The following is a 26,576-nucleotide window of genomic DNA, read 5'->3' on the forward strand; positions in this document are numbered from 1 at the left end:
CCCAGCAAGAATTTCCTACCAGTCAGTTGGCTGGGTGTGGTGGCTCACACCTGTAATCCCAGCACTTTGGGAGGCAGAGGCAGGTGGATCACCTGAGGTCAGGAGTTCGACAACAGCCTGACCAACATGGTGAAACAACATCTCTACTAAAAATACAAAAAATTAGTCATGGCCGGGTGCGGGGGCTCATGCCTGTAATCCCAGCTCTTTGGGAGGCCGAGGTGGGCAGATCACTTGAGGCCAGGAGTTCGAGACCAACCTGGCCAACATGGTAAAACCCCGTCTCTACTAAAAATTGAAAAAATAAGCCGGGTGTGGTGGTGCATGCATGTAATCCCAGCTACTCGGGAGGCTGAGGCAGGAGAATCACTTAAACCTGGGAGGTGGAGATTGTAGTGAGCTGAGATTGCACCATTGCACTCCAGCGTGGGTGGCAGAGAGAGACCCCATCTCAAAAAAAAAAAAAAATTAGTCGTGCATGTTGGTGTGCACCTGTAATCCCAGCTTCTCGGGAGGCTGAGGCAGGAAATCACTTGAACCCAGGAGGTGGAGGTTACAGTGAGCTGAGATGGTGCCACTGCACTCCAGCCTGGGTGACAGAGCGAGACTCTGTCTCGAAAAAAAAAAAAGTCCAGGTGCAGTGGCTCATGCCTGTAACCCCAGCACTTTGGGCTGAAGTGAGGGGATCACGAGGTTAAGAGCTCAAGACTATCCTGGCCAGCATGGTGAAACCCCGTCTCTACTAAAAATACAAAAATTAGCTGGACATGGTGGCTGTAGTCCCAGCTGCTCAGGAGGCTGAGGCTGGAGAATTGCTTGAACCCAGGAGGTGGGGGTTGCAGGGAGCTGAGATCATGCCACTGCACTCCAGCCTGGCAACAGAGTGAGACTCCATCTCAAAAAAAAAAAAAAGAAGCCGATTTGCCCAAATCAAAGAAAGAAAAGAAGTGGGTTTTCTTATTTTGTTTCATTTTGTTTTTAGTCTGTAAATGAAACAAAACAGCAAGGAGAAAAGTCCCCTGATTTGTATCCTAGTGCTTCTTGATCACACCTAGTTGGCATAGCTGCAAAAAGCATAGCCGGCTGGGTGCAGTGGCTCACACCTGTAATCCCAGCACTTTGGGAGGCTGAGACGGGCAGATCACGAGGTCAGGAGATCCAGACCATCCTGGCTAACACGGTGAAACCCCGTCTCTACTAAAAATACAAAAAAAAAAATTAGCCGGGCGTGGTGGCGGGTGCCTGTAGTCCCAGCTACTTGGGAGGCTGAGGCAGGAGAATGGCATGAACCTGGGAGGTGGAGCTTGCAGTGAGCCGAGATTGCACCACTGCACTCTAGCCTGGGCAACAGAGCGAGACTCCGTCTCAGAAAAAAAAAAAAAAAATCATAGCCACATCTATCTAATCTTATTGCTCATAGCTGTTAAATACCAAACCTGAATACGCAATTTTAGAAACGGAGCCTTCAATGCTTTTTGTTCCCAATGTTTCACAAGCAAATGGATGGAAATCAGAAGGCACACAGGGGAAGAGTATAATAAAAGCCCTAAGACAAGTTAAATGAAGTCCCCTGAAAATGACAGTGAAGCAGAGCAACCAAGAGATTGATTCATACAGCAAAGAGGACAAGACAGATTAATGCAAAGTTGACATCCTGTGGTGCCAAACCAGTTCTTAGCCAAGAGGGACTTTACTGAGAGGGGCCTCTAACTCTTAGGAAGGACTAAATCTTAGGAAGGACTCTAACCTTCCTAAATTGGGCCTCAAACCCAGGGTCAGTCAAGCCTCCTTGCCTTTTCTTTTCTTTTCTTTCTTTTTTTTTTTTTTGAGATGAAGTCTCACTCTGTTGCCCAGGCTGGAGTGCAGTGGTGCGATCTCGGCTCACTGCAACCTCTGCCTCCTGGGTTGAAGCAATTCTCTTGCCTCAGCCTCCCTAGTAGCTGGGATTACAGGTGTGTGCCACCACACCTGGCTGATTTGTGTATTTTTAGTAGAGATGGGTTTTCACCATGTTGGCCAGGCTGGTCTCGAACTCCTGGTCTCAGGCAATCCGCCCGCCTCGGCCTCCCAAAGTGCTGAAATTACAGGTGTGAGTCACCGCACCTGGCCACGTCCTTGCCTTTTATTGAGAGGAAACTTTAACCCTCTCTGTCTTAGGAGAGACTCTAACTCCCTAAGCTGGGCCTCTAACCCAATCTCATCCTTTACCCAGGTGCCCCACCACTTACCCAAAGTCGGCCAATTAGTGCTGCAGCCTATTTCCTTTGGGCCGGTGGGTTTCTTCAGTATCATCCCTTCAAGGTTCACCAGAAAGATGTTACCAGAAAGGGCGTCCCAATTCAGACCCCAAGAGAGGGTTCTTTGGATCTCACACAAGAAAGAATTCAGGGTGAGTCCACAGTGCAAAGAAAAGTAAATTTGTTAAGAGAGTAAAGTGATGACAGAATAGCCACTCCATAGACAGAGCAGGCTCTTCCCGAAAGTCAGAGGAGGAATGCGTCCACCCTAGGTACTTGTTTATACATAGTGTCAGGAATAACGCTCAAAATTTTAAGGAAATTGAACACTCGAACAAACGATTTTTAGCAAAGAAATTTTACGTTTGCACAGAGGGGTGCCTCTTTGGCCAGTCGCCATGAGAGCGCACCTGAAAAAAGGGGCACGAGAGCCTTTGAGCGAGCCACTTTTGTGAGCGAGACTCCATCTCAAAAAAAAAAAAAAAAAAAGAATTGGCAGAGATTTTAAAAAGGCTTATAAAGAAGGAGCCAAAATTCCAGTTTCTGATTGGTTGGTGTGGGCATTGATAAAGGCTGCTCTTGAGCCATTTCAAACAGATCACGAGACAGATTCAGATGAGGAAGACAAGTGTGTAAAAAACTAACTTCAGATTCTGAATGCGAGGAGCAAAAACCAGAGGAAATTAAGAAAGGGAAACTGAAAAGGGTATGTTTTACTAACCCATCAGCTCCACCTGCTGAATTAAGTGAATGGCCACCTCCTTTCCCTCCCCATAATGGGCGAGAAAATGAATTAGCTGTAAAATTTACTGCTCCTGTAGTTGCAACATTAAAATCTGGAGCAATTGGTGGTGCTATACAAAATTCTATTCAAAAGGCTAGAGCTGAGGGAGACCTTGAAGCATGGCAATTTCCTGTTACTATCACCCAGCAAGGAGGGAAAAATATAGCTAGTTGGGCCACATTTTCTTTTAAGCTATTAATGGAATTTAAGCAAGCCATTAGTCAATATGGGCCAAATTCTCCTTTTGTACAAACTTTACTAAAAAATGTGGCTCTGAATAATAGATTGATAAAATATGACTGGGATACTTTAACAAAATCTGTTCTCACTCTATCTCAGTACTTACAGTTTAAAACCCGGTGGGCTGATGAAGCTCAAACTCAGGCAAGGGAAAAAACACAAGCACAGCCATCTGTGCCTGTTTCCTTTCAACAGTTAAAGGGAGTCAGTCCTAATTGGGGTCAATTAGAAAATCAAGCAGTAATGGAGAATGTTGCCATTGTTCAGTTATGCACTGTGTGCTTACGGGCATGTGACAGAATAAATGTTACAGGAGAAAAATATCCTTTTTTCAGTTCTGTCTGACAAGGACCTAAAGAACCATATACTGATTTTATTGCTCAGCTCCAGGAGGCTGTGAATAAGGCCATAACTGACAAAACAGCTCAAGATGTTGTAATACAGCTTCTTACATATGAAAATGCTAATACAGAGTGTCAAAATGCTATTAGACCTATGAGAGGGAAGGCTCATTTGGCTGAATATATTAAGGCTGGTGATGGCATTGGGGGTAACTTACACAAGGCTACTCTTTTAGCTCAAGCTATGGCTGGATTAAAGGTGGGAAAAATACGCCCCATTTTTCAGGCTCTTGCTTTAATTGTGGGCAATTTGGACACACAAAAAAGGAATGTAGAAAAGGAAATCAAAAGGCAAAACTATTACCATCAATCAACAGAAAAGTCCCGATGTATACCCCCGGTATAAGAAAGGCAATCCCTGGACAAGACAGTGTCATTCTAAATTTAGTAAAGATGGACAACCTCTTTTGGGAAAAGGGAAGAGGGGCACACCTCAGGCCCCTCAACAAACCAAGGCATATCCGCACAGTCAGTGCCCTTACAAACGTACAACAATTGTCCCCCGCCACAGCAGGCAGTGCTGCCATGTATCTCTGCAGCACAATTCCCACTCCCTACTTCCTGGGGAGCCACCAAAGAAGGTCCCCATGGGTGTTAGGGGCCCTTTACCCTCAGAAAAAGTTGGTCTATTGCTTGGAGGGTCTAGCTTAAATTTAAAAGGTGTCACTGTACATAGAGGAATAATTGATTCTAATTATGCCAGAGAGATTCAACTAGTTGTTAGTTCCTCAACTCTGTGGTCTGTTTCCCCAGGAAAAAGAATTGCTCAGTTGTTGCTGTTACCTTATACAAAACTGGGAAACAGCACTGTAAAAAGAACAGGAGGCTTTGGTAGTACTAACTCAGCAGGGAAAGCTGTATATTTGGTTAATTGAATGTCTGATAAGAGACCTATTTGTACAGTAACCATCCAAGGAAAGGACTTTGAAGGGTTAGTAGATACTGGAGCTGATGTTTCTATTATTGCTTTAAATCAATGGCCCTGACACTGGCCCAAACAAAAGGCATCCATTGGTATTGTTGGAGTAGGAGCTGCTTCAGAAGTTTTTCAAAGTTCCTTAATTTTGCCATGTCTAGGGCTGGATGGCCAAGAAGGGACGATTCAACCTATTATTACAGCTATTCCTGTCAATTTATGGGGAAGGGGCATATTGCAACAATGGGGTGCTGAAATATCTATTCCTATGGATCAGTATAGTAATAACAGTAAACAAATGATGAGAAAAGTGGGATATCTCCCAGGAAAAGGATTAGGAAAGAATGAAAGTGACCAACCAGAACCTTTAGAACTAAAAGGGCGAACAGATCGAACCGCATTAGGGTATCATTTTTAGGAGCGGCTATTGCTGAGCCTCCAGCTCCCATTCCTCTTGTTTGGTTAACTGCCAAACCAGTTTGGGTGGAGCAATGGCCGCTGAAACAGGAAAAAACTGGAGGCTTTAAAAGAATTAGTACAGGAACAATTGCAAAAGGGACACATAGAGCCTACTTTCTCTCCTTGGAATTCTCCTGTTTGTTATTAAGAAAAAAATCAGACGGACGCGGTGGCTCACGCCTGTAATCCCAGAACTTGGGAGGCCGAGGCGGGTGGATGGCAAGGTCAAGAGATTGAGACTATCCTGGCTAACACAGTGAAACCCTGTCTCTACTAAAAATACAAACATTAGCCGGGTGTGGCGGCATGTGCCTGTAGTCCCAGCTGCTGGGGAGGCTGAGGCAGGAGAATGGCTGAACCAGGGAGGCGGAGCTTACAGTGAGCTGAGATCGTGCCACTGCACTCCAGCCTGGGTGACAGGGCCAGACTCTGTCTCAAAAAAAAAAAAAAAAAAGAAAAGAAAAAATCAGGTAACTGGAGAATGTTAACAGATTTAAGGGCTGTTAATGCTGTAATTCAACCCATGGGCTCACTGCAACCAGGGCTGCCCTCTCCAACAATGATTCCAAAATACTGGCCTCTAATATTGCTTATTTACCATTCCTTTAGCTACCCAAGATTATGAAAAATTTGCTTTTACTGTTCCCGCTATAAATAACAAAGAATCAGCGGATACCATTGGAAAGTACTCCCACAAGGCATGTTAAGTAGTCCAACTATTTGTCAAACTTATGTTGGAAAAGCTATTAAGCCAGTTAGAGAACAATTTAAAAAATGTTATATTATCAATTACATGGATGATATTTTATGTGCAGCTGACACTAGGGAGGAATTAACACTATGCCACAAACAGAAAAGTCTGTAACTGCTGCAGGACTAATCATAGCCCCCCATAAAATCCAAACTTCTACTCCCTTTCAATATTTAGGAATGAAGGTAGAACAAAGTGCTACTAAGTCTCGAAAGGTTCAAATTCAAAGAGATAATTTAAAAACTTTAAATGACTTTCAAAAATTATTAGGAGACATTAATTGGATTTGTCCAACTTTAGGCATTCCTACCTATGCTATGTCTCACCTTTTTTCTGCCTTACAAGGTGATTCTAACTTAAACAGTAAATGCTCCCTGTCCAAAGAGGCATTAGGGGAACTTCAATTACTTGAAGAAAAAATTCAACAAGCACAAGTGAAACGAATTAACCCTATGCAGCCATTACAGTTTTTAGTTTTTCCTACTAAACATTCACCTACAGGAGTTATTGTTCAACAGAATGATCTGGTGAAGTGGCTTTTTCTACCTCACAATACAACCAAAACGCTTACTCTGTATTCAGATCAAATTGCTGTACTAATAGGACAAGCAAGGCTGCACACAACAAAGTTAATGGGATATGATCCAAATCAAATTACAGTTCCAGTAAACAAACAACAAATTCAGCAAACTTACATTAATTCCCAGGAATGGCAAGTTAATTTGGCAGGTTTTGTTGGCATTCTTGATAATCATTATCCTAAATCTAAGATATTTCCATTTCTAAAATTAACATCCTGGATATTGCCTTCTATTACTCAAAAAGCCCCTAATGAAGGGGCCATTACTGTTTTTACTGATGGGTCTAGTAATGGATAAGCCTCATTTGTGGGACCTCAACAACAAGTTTTTCAAACTGACTTTGCTTCTGCTCAAAGGGCTGAACTTATTGCTGTAATTACAGTACTGAAAACTTTAAAAAAGCCAGTTAATATTGTTTCTGATTCAGCTTATGTGGTGCAAATCACACAAAATATTGATGAACAACTTAATCTTTTATTTCATTCTTTACAACAAGCAGTACAACAAAGACATTCCCCTTTCTATATTACTCATATGAGAGCACATACTAACCTCCCTGGTCCTTTTAACTTAATCAAAGGGCGGATGCACTGGTTTCTGCAGCTTTTGCCGATGCACAAACGTTCCATTCCTTAACCCATCTTAATGCTGCAGGCCTCAGAAAAAGATACGGCTTATCCTGGAAGCAGGTTAAGGAGATTGTAAAACACTTTTCTGCCGGTGAAGTCCTGCATCTGCCACATCAGGGAGCAGGAGTTAACCCTAGAGGTCTATCTCCAAATTCCATCTGTCAGATGGACATAACACACATTCCCACTTTTGGAAAATTGTCCTTTGTTCATGTTTCAGTAGATATTTATTCACATTTTATCTGGGCCACATATCAAACAGGGGAAGCTACAGCTCATGTTAAAAAACCTTTTTTTTGCTTTGCAGTTATGGGAATCCCAGAAAAAACCAAAACCGATAATGGCCCAGAGTATTGCAGCAAAGCCATGGCTGCATTTTTTTTTTTTTTTTTTTTTTTTTTGAGACGGAGTCTTGCTCTGTCGCCCAGGCTGGAGTGCAGTGACCAATCTCGGTTCACTGCAAGCTCCGCCTCCCGGGTTCACGCCATTCTCCTGCCTCAGCCTCCCGAGTAGCTGGGACTACAGGCACCCGCCGCTGCGCCCGGCTAATTTTTTTTGTATTTTTAGTAGAGACGGGGTTTCACCGTGGTCTTGATCTCCTGACCTCGTGATCCGCCCGCCTTGGCCTCCCAAAGTGCTGGGATTACAGGCGTGAGCCACCGCGCCCAGCAGCCATGGCTGCATTTTAACAGCAGTGAAATATTACTCATACTACAAGTATTCCATATAACTCACAGGGACAAGAGATAGTTGAAAGAGCTCATTGTTAACTTAAAAACTCAGTTACAAAAACAGAAAGAGGGAGACCAGGTATATAAAACCCTACATATACAATTACACCTCGCTTTATTAACATTAAATTTTTTAAATTTACAAAAGGATCAGCCCATGACAGCAGCTGAACAACACTTAACAGGACAAAAGGAAAATAAAAATGCCAGACAAGATATACAGTGGAGGGATGCACATACAAAGAGTTGGGAAAAAGGAAAAATAATTACATGGGGAAGAGGATTTGCTTCTGTCTCTCCAAGTGACAATCAGGTGCCTCTGTGGGTGCCCACCAAACATCTGAAGGTCTATCATGAGCCACACCAGGAAGAGAGGACTCTGGGAAGAGCCAGAACTCCCTATACGAGTGATGGCATGAATGAAAATCTCAGAGACAAAGGAAAAGACCAAGAATACTCACCAGGCAGACCCTCCAACATGGGGACAAATCAGGAAACTGGCACAGATGCAGAGGACAATCTGAGAGCACAGAACAAATCAAAAACAACTAGTAACCTAATGGTGGCTATGATGGTGGTACTTACTGTGGCGGTAAGCCTCCCTACTGTAAAAGCAACTCAAAATTTTACTTATTGGACTTATGTCCCATTTCCTCCTTTAATTAGGTCTGTGAGTTGGATGGACCCTATTATTGAGGTGTACAACAATGACAGAACCTCGATGCCTGAGCCCATAGATAACAGAGTGCCGATGCATCCTAATGAGGAAGGGATGAAAATGAATATATCAATAGGATATAAATATCCTCCAATATGCCTAGGACCTGCTGCTGGATGCTTACAAATTGGCACACAAGTATGGTTGGCAGTAATCCCTGGAAAAAATAAATCACAGGCTACTTTATATATGATTTCAGGGCAAAGTTTAAAATATAACCATTCCAGCCCTGAAACTCAGCAGTTCTGACCAGACAAACTCGAATGTAAACAAAATAGAGTTTGGTTTGAAGGTGTGGACGCTTGGCATTGGGGAAATTGTGTAGCAAGTAAGGCTGGGGTGCTACAAAATAATTCCTATGGAATCGTCATTGACTGGTCCCCTAAGGGGATTTTTAAGAAAAATTGCACTGAAGGGCCTTCTTATAAAATAAGCTGATGGACTCATTGGAAAGAGAACCATACACGGTACATTCAGACGGAAGCTGATGTTCCTATTATATGGAGCCCTGGTGGCATTATCACCCCTATTCCAAAAATGATATCTCCTGCCATAGGACAGGAACATTCAGGATTATGGAAATTAGCTATGGCTCAAAGTTCAATCACAATTTGGGAGGGTAAATATAATAAGTATAAAGGGGAGGGAGGTAAATATAAATATGTTCTCTCTTTTCTTTCTAACAGGACCTTTTGGAATCAAAATTGTGTCCGACCACCTTTTACGTTAGCAGTAGGAAATATTACTCTTCTTTTTTTTTTTTTGAGACCGGAGTCTCGCTCTGTCCCCCAGGCTGGAGTGCAGTGGTGTGATCTAGGCCCACTGCACGCTCTGCCTCCCTGGTTCATGCCTTTCTCCTGCCTCAGCCTCCCGAGTAGCTGGGACTACAGGCGCCCACCACCATGCCCGGCTAATTTTTTGTGGCTTTTTATTTATTTATTTTTTTTAGTAGAGACGGAGTTTCACCGTGTTAGCCAGGATGGTCTTGATCTTCTGGCCTCATGATCCGCCCGCCGCAGCCTCCCAAAGTGCTGGGATTACAGGTGTGAGCCACCCCGCCAGGCCGGAAATATTACTCTTTACATAAATACCCGTTTTATCACCTGCCAGGAATGTCACTTGTTTACTTGCATTAACGACATCTTGATAAAAATCAAACTATCTTGTTAATTAGAGCCAGAGAAGGAGTTTGGATCCCTGTGTCTCTAAATAGACCATGGGAGGCATCACCGTCCATTCACATTATAACTGAGATCCTTACAAAACTCTTATCCCGTTCAAAAAGATTTATAGTTGCTCTTATATTTGCTATAATTGGCCTCACTGCAGTTACCACCACTGCTGCAGTAGCTAGTGTGGCTTTACACTCATCTGTGCAAACTGTCAAATTTGTTGATAAATGGAAAAAGAATTCTATGAAATTATGGAGCTCTCAGGCCCAAACAGATCAAAATATAGTTAGTCAAATTAATGATCTCCCTCAGACAGTAATTTGGATGGGGGATTGCATCATAAGTTTAGAAACTAGAATTCAAATGCAATGTGACTGGAATACATCCGATTTTTGCGTTACTCCTCATAGTTAGAATGAAACAGAACACCAATGGGAAATTAAATGCCATCTAGTGGGCAGAGAGGAAAATCTCACCCTTGATATTGTAAAAGTAAAAGAGCAGGTTTTTGAAGCCTCTCAGGCTCACTTAACCCTGCTCCCTGGAACTGATATTTTCAGCGAGGCAGCCAATGGGTTGTCTGCAATCAATTCTCTTAAATGGATTAAGACCACTGGAAACTCTACACTTGTAAATTTTGTTCTAATAATTATGTGCTTGTGCTGTCTCCTTTTAATCTACAGATGCGGAAGCCGCTTCTGGAGAGAAAGCCGCTGCCAAGAACAAGCAATGATAGCTGTGGCGGTTTTGCAGGACAAAAAAGGGAGACATGTTGGCAGAAGAGCTGAGGCAGGGCTCGTTTTTCTGACATAATGTAAAAGAGTCTTGGAACATGTCCTGGGTCCAGGGTCTAAAACCCCTCATGACCTTTGGAACACCAAACTCTGTGCCAAAGGGTGGAAGGCTGCCCTGCCGCAGTACAATCTAAACCCAGGGTATGAAACCCCTTGTGGCTTGGAGAGAACCCAGGGCTCAGGGCATAAAACCCTCTGTAGCCTTTGGAGTGTGTCCAGACTCACTGGCCCCTTGCACTTTGTTCTCCCAAGATCATAAATTGATTGTATCTTGAATTAGAAGAACCTATTCTCCCTTATCTCAAGTAGCAGAGCATATGCTAAGCCATCACAGCTACGCTTGATGCACCGCTTTCTACCCCCACATCCTCACCTGTCTGCCCCCACATCCGCACGTCCTCTCCACCTGCTTCTTTGTTTGATTACCAATAAATAGTGTGGGCTCCTAGAGCTCAGGGCCTTTGCAGCCTCCATACTGGCGTTGGCCCCTGAGACCCACCCTATGTACTCTTGTCTTGTCTCATTCCTTTGACTCTGCCAGACTTCATAGCCCCAGTGACCAGGTGTTGGGTCTGATCACCCCAACACTTTGCCTCCACCGGTCCCATGCCACCCTCGCTTTAAGCCCCTGCCTTTGAAAGCAGGTCATGTTCACTGAGATGCTGGACACTGCAGGTATCTGTCCCTGGGACAGCAGGGACCTCTGAAGCTTCTTTGTGGCCTGGTTTATACTTTTTTCCATCTTGTGGTTTTTCTAATGGACTTTCACGGATTTTGTAATCTCGTAACTTTCCAAGCTCCATCACTTCCTAAATCTTAAGAACTGTAATTGACAGTTTAAATTGAAGGTGCTGTTTGTAGACTTAATACCCAATGAAAGCCCAGGCATCGCCGGGAGTGGTGGCCCACGCCTGTAATCCCAGCACTTTGGGAGGCCAAGGCGGGCGGATCACCTGAGGTCGAGCGTTCCTGACTAGCTTGATCAACATGGAGAAACCTCGTCTCTACTAAAAATACAAAATTAGCCAGGTGTGATTGTGCATGCCTATAATCCTAGCTACTCGGGAGGCTGAGGCAGAACTGCTTGAACTCAGGGGGCAGAAGTTGTGGTGAGCCAAGATTGTGCCATTGCACTCCAGCCTGGGCAACAAGAGTGAAACTCCGTCTCAAAAAAAAAAAAAAAAAAAAAAGCCCAGCCATCATGAAGAATCCTCGAATGTTCTCTGAAGAAAATGATGCTGGGGGCTGGGTGCAGTGGCTCATGCCTATAATCCCAGCACTTTGGGAGGCCGAGGCATGTGGATCACCTGAGGTCAGGAGTTCAAGTCCAGCCTGACCAACAGGGTGAAACCCTGTCACTACTAAAAATATAAAAAAGTAGCCAGGTGTGGTGGCGGGTGCCTGTAATCCCAGCTACTCTGGAGGTTGAGGCAGGAGAATCATTGGAACCTGGGAGGCGGAGGTTGCAGTAAGCCAAGATTTCACCATTGCACTCCAGCCTGGGCAGTAAGAGTGAAACTGCGTCTCACACTTGATCTTAGCCAAAAGGCTGAGAAGCACTGAACCAAAGCCACTGCGCCCGGCTGGGAAAGTTCTTCTTTACAGATTTATAGTTCTTCTTTATAGATTCTTTCTTGCTAAGTGTTGAAAAGATAACTATAATCATCTAAAGAGGATTAATTCATCACTTAGGCAAAGTAGAGGTTAGCAAGAGGAAGTTACTTCTCTTAGAGTATGTGATTCAAAGGAAAAAATTGCTACATCAAATACACACCGACTGGCTAAACATTTCTAGGTACGTATCAATTTCTATGCCACTTTCAGATTCAACACAATGAGGAAATTACTGGTGTAATAAAAATAACAAACATTAGATTGATGAAGCACGGTAAAATAATTTCAAACAGGAAAGATGTATGAATCTTTTGTACAAAAAAATTTCAACATATAAGTTGCATACAAGCAGGAAGATTTAACTTCATAAGAGAATTAACAAAAGTTGTATTAATTCAAGACAAGAGCCTGCAGAGACTAAAATTGCTTAGTACTGAAAGTTTTGCCTATATAAACTGTAGTTTATGAAGAAAAAAGTTTTGTTTTTTTTGAGGCAGGGCCTTGCTCTTTTGCCCAGGCTAGAGTGCAGTGGTACCATCTCAGCTGATTGCAACCTCCATTTCCGAGGAAGGCTCCTTAATTTCCCAATTATAAAGGTTTTGTGGGAACATAATTGGGTGTAATAAAATAAAAATTTACACCACAAGAGACAGACACATACTCTTCAGGGTGTATGGTCATAATTTGTTTGAACGAGCCCTTTTAAACTTCTAGATATCATTGAAACTCCTATGTTGATTAAAAATCATCAAAGATCTTTCCAGTGAGAAGGATGAAAAATATTACTGAGAATGAAGTATCACTATTTCATGTATGTGCCTGTATGTGCTTATATAACATGCTGTAATACAAGGTGACATTTAGGGGCTGAGACTGTTAACATCTGACTGTACCTTGCTATTTGTAACTTACAATCTTATTCACATTTCTCAAGTGCCATGCCTTTAGGTGCCTATACATCATGCTATCATAGGATTTCTAGGGATAAGCCGAGTGCCGTGGCAGATGCCTGTAATCCCAGCACTTTAGGAGGCTGAGGGGGGTGGATCATGAGGTCACAAGTTTGAGACCAGCCTGGCTAACGTAGTGAAAGCCCATCTCTACTAAAAATACAAAAATTAGGTGGGCGTGGTGGAGGGAACCTATAGGCCCAGCTACTTGGGAGGCTGAGGCAAGAGAATCACTTGAACCTGGGAGGCGGAGGTTGCAGTGAGCCGAGACCATGCCATTGCACTTCAGCCTGGGTGACAGAGTGAGACTCTGTCTCAAAAAAAAAAAAAAAAAAAAATTTAGGGATAATATCTAAGCCCATATAACCTGCTGTTATAAAAGGTAACATTTAGGGATTGAGATTTTTTTTTTTTTTTTTTTTTTTTTTTGAGACGGAGTCTCGCTCTGTCACCAGGCTGGAGTGCAGTGGTGCAATCTCGGCTCACTGCAACCTATGCCTCCCAGGTTTAACGAATTCTCCTGCCTCAGCCTCCCAAGCAGCTGGGACTACAGGCACCCACCACTATGCTTGGGTAATTTTTGTATTTTTAGTAGAGACAGGGTTTCACCATATTGTCCAGGGTGGTCTTGAACTCCTGACCTTGTAAGCCACCCACCTCAGCCTCCCAAAGTGCTGGGATTACAGGCCTGAGCCAAAACACCCAGCTGAGATTCTTCATATAGCTGATTATCTTGCCATTTCTAACTTACAAGCTTTATCCACATTTCTTAACCTTTTGTTTCACTAAATGGGACAGGAAGTTTTAACTCTTGTATCCATGAAGCATCTTAGTAAAATAACAGATATTCCATTTGCAAATTATGCTCCCCAAAAAACACAAACACATATGTAAAAAATGTTATAAAGACATTAAGTGTCCACTCAATAACTTTGATTCAAACTATCTTCATGTTCTTCACTTCACAAGATAAAGCTCTTAAAATGGACTTTGTGAGGTTCCATGTGTTTGGTCAGTCATGAGAGGAAGAATAATTCAGAGTGAGAGGAAACAAGAGAGATTCTAGGCAGCCCTCAGGGAAGCTGAGGAGGTGGCTCCCTGCCTCCGGGTCCCTCAGAATGTCCCATCTCCCTGTCAGTATCAGTGTCCCAGATAATCTTCTTCTGACTGGGACATTTCCCAATTTGGGAACAGTGGTTACTTGCCAAATTCACATTTACGGCCAAAACTGTGGCTACAGTGTCGACATTCATGCAAGTGGGGAAATGGGCATGTGGCCCCTGAAAAAAGATTCTGGATTCCATAATCTCACCTTGCTGGCAAGAAACTACCATTTCAGCAGAAAGTGCAATGACAGTGTCTGCACAGGGACTGGAGATTATCTCCAGAAAAGAGCTTGGAGTGAGGAAATTAGTTAATGTGGATGAATGACGTTACCCATGGAGAATGAAGTAAGTAGCTAGAAGACAAAAGCCTCAGAACACATAAATCTCAACGGGTACTGAGTAGAGGACTCGGAGCTCTGAGGTAATTGGAGCTCATGGCTATCCCAGAACTTGGATAACATAAAGTTCTTGTTTCTACAAAGTGTGTATCCTTTCCATATGTGAGAACTCTGAGGAAATACAAACTTGGAACAAAAGAAATAGTAAGGTAATCTTAGAAAGATGTTGAATAGAAAGCAAGCTACGGTGACATCTTAACTGTTTCACTGCCCAGCAATCTATACGTATTGTCACTTGGGGACACTTATGATTCCACATGAAGTGGATAACCAGCTCATAGCTCTTGTGGTACTGAAAACCAAGTATTTGGCCGGGCATGGTGTGGTGTACTCGTAATCTCAGCTCCTTGGGAGGCTGAGGTAGGAGAATCACTTGAACCTGGGAGGCCCAAGTTGCAGTGAGCCAAGATTGCACCACTGCACTCCAGCCTGGGTGACAGAATGAGACTCCGTTCCAATGCGAAGTCTCTTAAGACCAAGGAGAGCAGACATTCTGATGTTTCCCAGATTGACAGCACTCATAAGGCCTTTCTCCAGTATGAACTCTCCTGTGTTTAATGAGACGGGATGTTTCAGCAAACGATTTCCCATATTCACTGCACTCATAAGGCCTTTCTCCTGTGTGAACTCTGATGATGAAGGAGGGTAGAGCTTCGCTGAAATGTTTTTCCACATTTGGTACATTCATAAGGCCTTTCTCCAGTGTGAATTCTCCTGTGTTTAATGAGACTGGAACATTCAGCAAAGGATTTTCCACATTCACTGCACTTATAAGGCTTTTGTCCAGAATGAACTCTTTTATGAACATGAAGCGCAGAGCTGGAAAGAAATGATTTCCCACATTCATTGCATTCATACGGCCTTTCTCCAGTGTGAATCCTCTGATGTATAGTCACGCAGTTCTTATTACCAAATAATTTCCCACATACCTCACACGCATATGGCCTTTCTCCAGTGTGAACTCTCTCATGAACGAGAAGATGATACTTCCTGTTAAATAATTTCCCACATTCCCTACAATTGTAAGGTCTTTCCCCAGTGTGAAGTCTCTGGTGTTCAGTGAGGTGGGATCTGTACCTAAATGATTTCCCACATTCCTTGCACTCATAGGGCCTTTCTCCAGTATGACCTCGCTGATGTTGAACGAGGTTGCCCTTTTGACCAAAAGATTTTCCACATTCTCCACACTTGTAAGGCCTTTCTCCAGTGTGAACACGCTGATGGTTAATAAAGCAGAACTTCTGACGAAAAGATTTCCCACATTCCCCACAGTGATAAGCTCTCTCTCCAGTGTGACCTTGCTGATGTTGAATGAGGTTACCCTTTTGACCAAAAGATTTCCCATATTCTCTACACTCATAAGGCCTTTCTCCAGTGTGAACACGCTGATGGCTAATAAGGCTGCCCTTCTGACTAAAAGATTTCCCGCACTCCTCACAGGGATAAGCTGTCTTTCCAGTGTGGACTCGCTGATGTTGAATAAGGCTGCTCTTTCGACTATAAGATTTCCCACACTCTCCACAATCATAAGGTCCTTTTGCAGTGTGATCTCGCTGATGATTACTGAAGCTGACATATCTGCTAAAGGATTTTCCACAATCACTGCACACATAACATCCATCTCTAGTGAAAAGTTTCTGGTGTGGAATAACTGAGTGTTTGGTGCTGAAGGCTTTTGTGCGTTTTCCACAACTGTAATTAGTTTTTCCCTCCTGAAAGGGTGGGCCATGCATAGTTTCACTGTCTGTCTTCTCTACAGCAGCTGCTTCTTGGCACAATCCTGAACTGGGCAGAACGTCCTTCCCAAACTCGCGGAAGACAAATGGCTCCTGTGACACCCTGAGCTTACGTTTCTTTACAAACGATGCTTCTCTGACACTCTTTCTGTAGAATTTCTCTCCAATATGCTGCTTCTGGTGCTGATGAAGGTATGCAGTGTCATCCAAGTTTTTTCCACATGCTCCACTCCTGTTCAGCTTCTGCTTGTGATGAGTTTCCTGGTGGTCAGCAAAGTGAAAAACATCCTCCAAGATGAGGCCACACATTTCACAGGGGTGAGCCTTCTTAGGAGAAACACCTGCCCTAGGAGTCCTGCTCTGAGACTCTCTTTGTACAGAAATTCTCTGCTTACAAGGTGCCTCCTCATCTTTTGATCCACACCAACAACCTGAGAGCAAGAAAATGCTGGTCAAGTGCAAAGTACCTCTGACGGGAAGGCACAGCCCACCCACAAGTACGTCTCACAAATTGAGGAATTAATCTATAGAAATATTTGCAGGAACACAATGTTGGCTTCAAGTTGAAGATGGGGCTGCTGGCCGGGCGCAGTGGCTCACGCCTGTAATCCCAGCACTTTGGGAGGCTGAGGCGGGTGGATCACCTGAGGTCAGAAGTTCGAGACCAGCGTGACCAACATGGTGAAAACCCATCTCTACTAAAAATACAAAAATTAGCTGGATGTGGTGGTGAGCGCCTGTAATCCCAGCCACTCGGGAGGCTGAGGCAGGAGAATCATTTGAACCCGGGAGGTGGAGGTTTGCATTGAGCCATGATCGCACCACTGCACTGCAGCCTGGATAACAGAGCGAGACTCCATCTCAAAATAATAATAATAATAATAAAAAGAAGAATGAGCTGCCTAGCATTACTGGGCTATAAAGGTCACAGAATCCAGGAGGCCTCATGATGTAAAGAGCACAAGCATACAGGCAACACAGGGAGTAGAGGCAGGGTCCACAGCTCCTTCCTCTAAACACAAGTTGTGTACGGGACCTTATCTCCTAATGACATGTGAGTGCTATGTAGAAGCATATGGACTGGGCGCGGTGGCTCATGCCTGTAATCCCAGCACTTTGCAAGGGTGAGGCAAGTGGATAACCTGAGTTCAGTAGTTGGAGACGAGCCTGGCTAACACGGTGAAACCCTGTGTCTACTAAAAAAAGAAAAAATTAGCTAGGTGTGGTGGTGCAGGCCTGTAATCCCAGCTACTTGGGCGGCTGAGGCAGGAAAATCACTTCAACCTGGGAAGCAGAGGTTGCAATGAGCCAAGATTGTGCCATTGCACTCCAGCTTGGGCAACAAGAGCGAAACTCCATCTCAAAAAATATAAATATAGAAGCATATGTCAAGACCAAGAAAACATGAGTACAACACAGCAGAGGGTGGTCATGGATGGTTTAACATAGGGCATACACTTCCTAATATGTAATCGATACACCAATATCAGAGACAAGTGCAGATGAAAGCACAAGAAAAATGGGTGAGATGTGAGTATTAGTGCTGGGGTGGATATCACAGTAGAAGTGAAAAGGTACAGAACTAACACGTGTGAAACTCTCAACAATGGGGAGAAAAAGACAAATAGTGTGTGCCTACTCATATTGCCACAAAAACACTTGGCAAATATAAATGGTTTCTGGTATGATTTGGATAAACCCCTGAAGTCATGCCCTCCCCCAGCATGGCACTCCTGAGGGACAGGCTCCCTTTGAGCCTATCGTGATGAGCCTGAATTGAACCACATCTTGTCAAACATGGAGGTCTCTCCATCTCACACCCAGTACATAGGACCCGACGATGTAACTATGAAGGGAGAGACAGCAGAGATGAACAGCCAACACTAGCTCAGGACAACTAAGCACCTGACAGCCCACAGGAGAGTAAGGTAAGTATTACAAAAGAATTCCTAAGCAGGGTCTTGCAAGAAGAGTCTATGGTCTATGGTCTATGTAGGTAGTGACAATGTCAATGAAGGCAATTCTTGGCACAGGGAGGCACAAAGCATTGTCAGATAGAGGAAGGAAGTGTTAATAGAACCTGGGCACACAAGAGCTACCGATTTGGACAGTCACCTGACAGCCAGAGAGCAGGCAAAGTGGATACACTTAGGTGCCTATTAGACTCCTGACTCTGACTCCTTCCCTGGGAGCCTGGAGCAAAGCAGGTGTTGGAGGTGCTTAAGGAAAGGAAAAGGCAATACACACAACTTACATAGAGAAGTGTAGAAGGAACCTGTGTCCAGGCTCCTTAAGTGAGAAAGACAGTCCTGTCAATGAAAAACAGGGGAACAGTAACACTAGCTCAGGTCACAAAGGTGAGCGTGAGCAACTTACCCAGCGAGGATATGAGAGCCAGGTTCTCTAGCATCACATCACGGTACAAGCACCTCTGAGCCTCACTAAGAAGACACCACTCCTCCTGGGAAAAGTTCACAGCCACATCTTCAAAGGTCACAGTGCCCTGCTATGATAGTGACAGATGAAACCACAAACAGCCCCTCTGCTGAGGTACCACAACCCACCTCTCCCACACACCCACACTTGCCCATCCTCCTCCCAAGGTCCCCAACATAGTGTTGAAACTATGTCCACTAGTGCCTTTGTCTCTTCATGGGCCCACTGGTCAATTGCCATCAGCAATAAGCAGTAAGTGGACAAATAGGTATCCATGCTGAGGTCCTGACATAAAAAGGTCCATCCCCTTCTGAATAGCGATATCCAAGCTCATGTAAAGCCCAGGGCAGCTGCCTGAGCCCATTGGACAAACTCCCTCTCTAAATATACATCATTCTTTATACTGCAAAGACACATCCCCATGGCCACCCCTACCTGAGTTTTCCCTACCATCAGCCTCTCTCTGGCATCCCCACAAATAGAACTTTGTTTTTTGGGGTTTTTTTTGAGACATAGTCTAGCTCTGTCACCCAGGCTGGAGTGCAGTGGCATGATCTTGGCTCTTTGCAGCCTCCGCCTCCTGGGTTCAAGTGATTCTCGTGCCTCAGCCTCCCAAGTAGCCGGGATTACAGCCACGCACCACTATACCCGGCTAATTTTTGTATTTTTTTTTTTGGTAGAGAGGGGGTTTCACCATGTTGGCCAGGCTGGTCTTGAGCTCCTGGTCTCAAGTGATCCATCCGCCTTGGCCTCCAAAAGTGAGATTACAGGGGTGGGTCACTGCACCCAGCCCCCACAAATAAAATTATTTCACAAGATGAAGAGGGTATAACGGCCCATGATTCCCTTGGGAATATGCAATGGTTTGTTTCCATAACTCTGCTGGTAGGGATGGAATTGAAACCCACCACAAAATATAACAACCTGGAACCCTGCCTTATCACCTTGATAAAACGGGCTGTTAGGCTAGGATACATTATTCAAGAGAGCAGAGTGGGAATGAGATTTGTACTCACACCTTTTAAGGTTGTCCCACTTTCACAAGATGTCAAAGTGACACATCATATTGGGCCTTCAATTCTGGCCTTATACCAAAATGTGGATAAGCATCCAGACTATGCTTGACAAATACAAATAGGATCCAATATTAACACAGAATTTCCATGGTTTACAATAGCAGTGGTAATCCCAAATCATCCTGTGAACGTCTCCCGGAATGACTCCATAGCCACACAGAACCACATATGGCTTCAGATATCCATGGACCTATTTCACTTTTGTGCTGCACCAGCTGAGACCTCAGCTGTAGCAACCCTCCTCTGTCCATCTAATGCTGTTTAAAGCCCAGCCCCTGGATTTGTGAACCAAACCACATCTACTATCACAGATGAGCATATTTTTCACTGCCCACATGCACCAAGCTGAATGAAACTCTCCAGGCACTCCCAAAGTCATCTCAAAACGTTTATGAATCCAGACAGTGATAAATAGTTACAACTTGGCACCAACTCAGGCAGAAGTGTCATCTTCCTTACTCCTATGCTTCTGCATGCATCTATCTCATCTATTCTCTCCTCGGATGTCTATGTCCCCTTCCAAACTCTACTGTCTGATACATCCTGCCATGATGTTCACTCACACCCTCTCAGGTGTTTAGGAAGCCCAATAACATCACTCAGGGACGTAAGTAAGAGATCCACTCCTCAGCCTGTAGTCACACCTTCCTGGCCCCTGAAAAGATTTACCACCAAAATCTGAAGCATGTCCTCCTAAATGGACCCATAACTAACTTACTGAAGTTCACCCATTAGCTTTCAAATATTGGATGTCTCCAGTATCAACACCCTCCCAGATACCCCATCCTGTATGTCTAGTTATCCATTTAATGCCACCATTTATTGGTCACTGACTCTTCATATGGCCAAAACAACACTCTTGATATCCACAGTCAATATTATGTCAATACCAACTTCATGTCAGCTGATGCAGCGTCCATGGTTACAGCTGCTAAGATCAAAAACCTTGGGCTCATGCCTGATTCCTCTTTCATGCCCTTATCATCCGCATTAGAAAACCTAGCTGTCTGTCAGGCGTGATGGCTCATGTCTGTAATCCCAGCACTTTGGGAGGCTGAGGCAGGCGAATCACCTGAGGTCAGGAGTTCGAGACCAGTCTGGCCAATATGATGAAACCCCGTTTCTACTAAAAATACAAAAATTAGCTGGGCGTGGTGGCAAGCACCTGTAATCCCAGCTACCTTGGAGGCTGAGGCAGGAGAATCGCTTGAACCCGGGAGGCAGAGGTTCCAGTGAGCCAAGATTGCACCACTGCACTCCAGCCTGGGCAACAAGACCGAAACTCCACAAAAAAAAAAAAAAAAAAAAAAAAAAAGACAGAAAGAAAACCTAGCTGTCTCTTTACAAAAAGTGAATCCTGTATCCAGACTCATGTGATTTGCCACGTATCTGATCCACTAACCCTCACCTGGATTATGGCAGGAGCCTTATCTCTGACATTTCTTCCTCTTCCCTCAACCCATAGTGTGTGCACCAAGGTCCAACCAGATGAAGCCGGTAGCCAGTAGAACTGTGGTAATATCACCTTCTGACTTTGATCCTTTTTATCTCTAAGCATTTCACAACCTGGTAGCAAATCCTGGGTTAATCTTACAAGAGTGTTTACACTGGCTGACAGAAATGGGCATACTTGCATATAACCTGCCATGGCCTCAGTATCCTGTCTTTAGAGATTCTCCAGGGTCCTCGGATCAAAGGACTGAAAAAATGGCACTTAAGAGTCCCAGCACACCACAAGCTAGAGAACCTGTGGATGGGGTCAAGACCAATGAGGGGATTGAACACCCTCCACTTCCCTGTGTGGGTTCCCTAAGTGCTTCTGCAGCCAGGAGTGCCTGAGGGGAGAGGCAGACATTACAAACATGTCACGGGATTTGATAAGCTCAGGCCTCCCTGAACCCTTTCTTGTCCCTGGAACCAGGTAACCCTACGGCTGGTTGTCTGACCTGCTTGTCTCAGTGCAAAATGTCATCTCTACCACCTATGTGAGCTACAAAAAGGATTCAACCTCCCAAGACCCCAAAGTCTTCATCCTCTCTACGATATTCTTCCTTTGAATGTCCTTTGGGAAACCTTAAAAGCCTGGATTTGGATCATGTCCCTCCTTTATTCAAAACTCTCCATGGCTTCTAGCGTCCTCACCTTGAATGCACAGCCCTCGGCCTGCTTACTCTTCCAGGGAGAGCTCCACCTCACACTTTGTTCCAGACAGGTTCCATCCTCCCGGCTCCGTCCATCTCCAGGCCATTGCCTGCGCCCCTCCCTGTGCTTGTTGCTCTCCCCACCGCATCCCACGGGTGTCAGAAACAGGTGAAACCGTCTTTGCAAAATTATAACTGAGGAAATTATGACAGTGAAAGAAATCAGACCTTACTGACTCCGTCTTGCTTCCAACCTTTCAGCTGTCCTTGTTCATTCCTGGGTATAGGCTGAATTAACTTAGGGAAGGAATTCAGTTCATGGTTTCACTCTGAAACAAAATTGATAATAGCCCTTTCCTGAAAAGACCCCCTTCTTGCCTGGAGAACAGCCTGCCTTTGCAGGACTAACGAATTAGCTACAAGGTTAGAAATTACCGTTTAGGGGTCATGCAGCTTCTGACTCCAAGAGTCTGAACCTCCCCAAGTTGCTCCTGAAGATAAATCACTATTGTAAAACCTAAGATCAGTGCTTGAGGTATTTTGCAGATCCTGCACTGGATGGATCAGCTGACAACACACAGACCGGTAATCTGGGTCAATCAGTTCTGCCATCCCACCCAGAACAGAAAACAGCATGAAAAACTCACTTTAACCCTCTATGAATCCATCTCAGGTCCCAACCCTTACCGCCAAATTAATGTTGAAAACTCTGATCCCGGAATGCTAATGGAGACTGATTTGAGTAATAATAAAACTCCTGTCTCCAGAACAGCCTGACGGCTCTGCGTCAATTACTATTTCTCCATCGCAATTCTCCAGTCTTCATAAATCGGCTCTGTCTAGGCAGCTGGCAAGGTGAACCCACTGGACAGTTACACAGGGACCCCCACTGGACAGTTACACAGGGACCCCTCCTGCGAGCGCCTCAGTGTTCCTACGCCGGGTACCGGCTACAGACCCGTGAGCAGGAGCCGCTCCCTCGCTGGTTTAGGACCTGGGTGACGATGGGGTGACCTGAGGGCACAGAAGGCGCCACAATTACCTGAGTCGGGCGCCTCGGCGCAGCCGCTGCCATCGGACTACTTGGGGAAGCACGGCCCGGGAGCAGTGGTCGCCGTCACGGGGCTGCAGAGCCGCCTCTGGGCACCGAGGACGATTCCTCTCCACCTTCTAGGTTCAGTCACCGCGGTCCCCCCCCAGCACTCAGGGGCCACAAACTGGGGAAACACCCGCGTCACCGATACACAGCCGCTACTAGAGACCCCGGAAGTCTCAGCCTTACGTTACGTGCACACGTGGAAATGCCTTCTTTCCGAGTGCTCATTGGCTCTGACCGGCTGTCGTTTAACGCAGAGCTTTCTGGGTAATGTAGTTCCCCACTTTCCATGGCGCTAAAAAGAGCGATACCCAGAGTCCATCTGCAGGAAAAGCCCGCCATCAGGTCAGGGGTTCTCCTTAAAAAGCGCACCCTTCTGGCCGGGCGCAGTGGCTCAAGCCTGTAATCTCAGCACTTTGGAAGGCGGAGGTGGGCGGATCACGAGGTCAGGAGATGGAGACCATCCTGGCTAACACGGTGAAACCCCGTGTCTACTAAAAATTCAAAAAAAAAAAAAGTTAGCTGGGTGTGGTGGCGGGCGCCTACAGTCACAGCTACTCTGGAGGCTGAGGCTGGAGGAGAATGGCGTGAACCTGGGAGGCAGAGCTTGCAGTGAGCTGGGATCGCGCCACTGCCCTCCAGCCTGCGCGACAGAGCAAGACTCTGTCTCAAAAAAAAAAAAAAAAAAAAAAAAAAAAAAAAAAAAAAAGGCGCCTTTCTAGGGCAGAGGAGGGGTCTCACCTAGCCTTAGAAGCCGTATTGAGATTCCTGGAGACTAGTGTCTGTAACTAATCACTCAAGAATCTGGAAAAATACTGTTTCAGATTTCGGGGAGCGCAAGGTAAATAATAGGGAGCTCAAGCTAAAACTATTATTTAGGATTCTCCTAAAGGCTAAAAATCCAAATTACCACACCGTTTGAAACAGTCGTTCAGTCGCAAAATACCTGCACTGGAAGCAGAGGCTGATAAGCGTTGTTGTGTTATAATGTGTCTGAAGGCCCTCAGAAGCCTTAGAGTGCCTAAGGCAAATGAAGGAAGTTAGGGATGTGCTCCCCTATAGCAGGAGTGCAAAGCTGAATCTCTGTGATTCCTACAGAAAACAACTCTCCTGCTGATAGAATCTGTGAAAGGAAAATCTTGTGGCCTCAAAATTACTAAGCTAAAGGGAAAAGTCAATCTGGGAACTGCTCAGGGCAAACTTGCCTCCCATTCTATTCAAAGTCTTCCCTCTCCTCACTGAGATAGATGCCTATTCTGATTGCCTCCTTTGGAAGGACTTATCAGAAATTAAAAAGAATCCAACTATTTGTCTCTCTACCTGTCTACCTGTGACCTGGAAGTCCCCTCCCTGCTTCGAGTTGTTCCCGCCTTTCTGGTCGGAACCAATGTACTTCTTACATATATTCACTGATGTCTCATGTCCCCCTAAAATGTATAAAACCAACCTGTACCCCAACCACCATGGGCACATGTCGTCAGGACTTCCTGAGGCTGTGTCACGGGCATGTGTCCTCAACCTTGGCAAAATAAACTTTTTCTTTTATGAGACGGAGTCTCGCTCTTTGGTCAGGCTCGAGTGCAGTGGCGCGATCTCGGCTCACTGCAACCTCTGCCTCTCGGGTTCAAGTGATTCTCCTGCCTTAGCCTCCCGAGTAGCTGGGAGTACAGGCACGTGGCATCACGCCAATTTTTGTAGTTTCAGTACAGACGGGGGTTTCACCTTGTTTAGGATGGTCTCGATCTCCCTCGTGATCTGCCTGCCTCACCCTCCAATGTGTTGGGGTTACAGGCATGAGTCACCACACCTGGCCAGCAAAATAAACTATTTAAATTAACTGAGACCTGTCTCAAATTTGGGGGGTTCACAAATCATTATAGCGTTCAATTAATTGAACAACACTTTTTCCCACTTAGTATCCTTTACTTGATATTCTAACTTACATTCAACTCCTTTTAGTAATTTGACATCAGTCTTATAAAGAACAATAAGGCTGGGCACGGTGGCTCACGCCTGTAATCCTCGCACTTTGGGAGGCCGAGGCAGGCGGATCACCAGTTCAGGAGATCGAGACCATCCTGGCTAACATGGTGAAACCCCGTCTCTACTAAAAATACAAAAAAAAAATTAGCCGGGTGTGGTGGCACACGCCTGTAGTCCCAGCTACTCGGGAGGCTAAGGCAGGAGAATCACTTGAACCCGGGAGGCAGAGGTTGCTGTGAGCTGAGATCGCGCCATTGCACTGCAGCCTGGCGACAGAGCGAGACTCTCTCAAACAAAGAAACAAAAAACAATAAAATAAATGGTATCTTGGTAGTAGTGATGGCTACAGTCTGTAAAAAGTAAAGTACAGGTTCCTCTTCAAAGACTTTCCTCCCATCTAATTAGGAATAAATAGTAACTTCTCTTAGAAGCAAAATTTATTCAAAGACCTGTGCTAACATTCTTAAATATCTTCTAGCCGTAATTAAAAAAATCCATGTACTTTATGTTCTTAGCTCCCACAATTTAGCCTAAATATTTGCCCTGGCATGTTTACACTGGTCCAAGCAAGCATTGTCATAGCCTGTTCCTCTTATTTGAAGGTGTTTTTGCCTTTCTTAGCATTCCATAAGTTAATTCCTCCTTCGTTTTCCTCTTGCCTTTGCCTCTTTTAAAAATGTTCTAAGTTGCTAGTCAATCAGGACAAATACAGAATGTGAATTTGTATTTAGCCAGTGGAAACCGGACACAGCAGTAAGGTGGATGCGTCAGGCAGGTTATAAATGACCCTGTCTCCTTTGTTCAGTGTAATCTCACAGCAAAACTGCTGGCGAGTATACCGTTTCTGCAGAAAGTAAAAATGGCCTTGCTGAGGAAATTAAATTTATGTTCAATGCTATTTCTTTCTTTCTTTTTTTTTTTTTGAGACGGAGTTTCGCTCTTGTTGCCCAGGCTGGAGAGCAATGGCGCGATCTTGGCTCACCACAACCTCCGTCTCCCAGGTTCAAGTGATTCTCCTGCCTCAGCCTCCTGAGTAGTTAGGATTATAGGCATGCGCCACCATGCCCAGCTAATTTTGTATTTTTAGTAGAGATGGGGTCTCTCCATCTTGGTCAGGCTGGTCTTGAACTCCCGACCTCAGGTGATCCTCCCACCTCGGCCTCCCAAAGTGCTGGGATTATAGGCATGAGCCACCGCGCCCGGCCAAGTCAAGTGCTATTTCTTTACGGCACTAAAGAACAAGCATTTCAAACAGTACTTAAAGTTGGTGCTCTCCATCTGTTCATACTGGGCATTTGTAAAAGCCATGAGTTCATGTCATTGATGGGAAGTGATTATCATTGATTTGAGAGGAGGGAGTGTTCTGCATGAAAAATTAATATTACATAAGAGAAACAGTTGTAAATTGCAAGATACAAAAGCCTATTAATACTGACTAGGTAGGCTGGGCGTGGTGGCTCACGCCTGTAATCCCAGCACTTTGGGAGGCCGAGGTGGGCAGATCACAAGGTCAGGAGATCGAGACCATCCTGGCTAAGACGGTGAAACCCCGTCTCTACTAAAAATACAAAAAATTAGCCAGGCCTGGTGGCAGGTGCCTGTAGTCCCAGCTACAGGGGAGGCTGAG

The 26,576-nt window shown here is 44.8% G+C and overlaps 2 protein-coding genes across 6 annotated transcripts in view, besides 3 other annotated features; both read right to left on the minus strand.

Annotated features, from left to right (window-relative positions):
• ZNF814 (zinc finger protein 814) overlaps window positions 1-11,662 on the minus strand; it is a 35,748-nt gene extending 24,086 nt beyond the window's left edge. The window contains exon 1 of the mRNA XM_047439309.1: window positions 8,191-11,662. The gene's annotated coding sequence lies outside the window, so the exon portion shown is untranslated. The remainder of the gene's footprint in view (window positions 1-8,190) is intronic.
• A 645-nt stretch (window positions 11,663-12,307) lies between these two features.
• ZNF417 (zinc finger protein 417) lies at window positions 12,308-23,126 on the minus strand. 5 transcript variants are annotated; one of them, NM_001297734.2, is made up of 3 exons: window positions 22,913-23,126; window positions 18,594-18,720; window positions 12,308-16,648 (listed from the first exon to the last, which is right to left on the minus strand). In NM_001297734.2, the coding sequence occupies exons 1-3, from the start codon at window positions 22,943-22,945 to the stop codon at window positions 15,084-15,086; spliced, it is 1,725 nt and encodes a 574-aa protein (NP_001284663.1). In that variant the 5' UTR covers window positions 22,946-23,126; the 3' UTR covers window positions 12,308-15,083. The 5 variants fall into 5 exon arrangements, with proteins under 5 accessions (NP_001284663.1, NP_689688.2, XP_011524775.1 ...); NM_152475.3 differs by having other exon boundaries at window positions 18,594-18,723; XM_011526473.4 differs by having other exon boundaries at window positions 21,138-23,126.
• Window positions 22,883-23,172: an enhancer, noted in NCBI's record as "active region_15169". NCBI's record gives its function as "activates an Ori minimal core promoter by ATAC-STARR-seq in GM12878 lymphoblastoid cells {active_cell/tissue: GM12878}" and the evidence as "EXISTENCE:reporter gene assay evidence [ECO:0000049][PMID:35858748]".
• Window positions 23,191-24,046: an enhancer, noted in NCBI's record as "H3K27ac hESC enhancer chr19:58428025-58428880 (GRCh37/hg19 assembly coordinates)". NCBI's record gives its function as "activates a minimal SCP1, AML or CMV promoter by ChIP-STARR-seq in naive H9 embryonic stem cells {active_cell/tissue: H9 hESC(naive)}" and the evidence as "EXISTENCE:reporter gene assay evidence [ECO:0000049][PMID:30033119]".
• Window positions 23,443-23,502: an enhancer, noted in NCBI's record as "active region_15170". NCBI's record gives its function as "activates an Ori minimal core promoter by ATAC-STARR-seq in GM12878 lymphoblastoid cells {active_cell/tissue: GM12878}" and the evidence as "EXISTENCE:reporter gene assay evidence [ECO:0000049][PMID:35858748]".

Source organism: Homo sapiens, chromosome 19, assembly GCF_000001405.40.
Source record: "Homo sapiens chromosome 19, GRCh38.p14 Primary Assembly".
Classification (NCBI taxonomy): domain Eukaryota; kingdom Metazoa; phylum Chordata; class Mammalia; order Primates; family Hominidae; genus Homo; species Homo sapiens.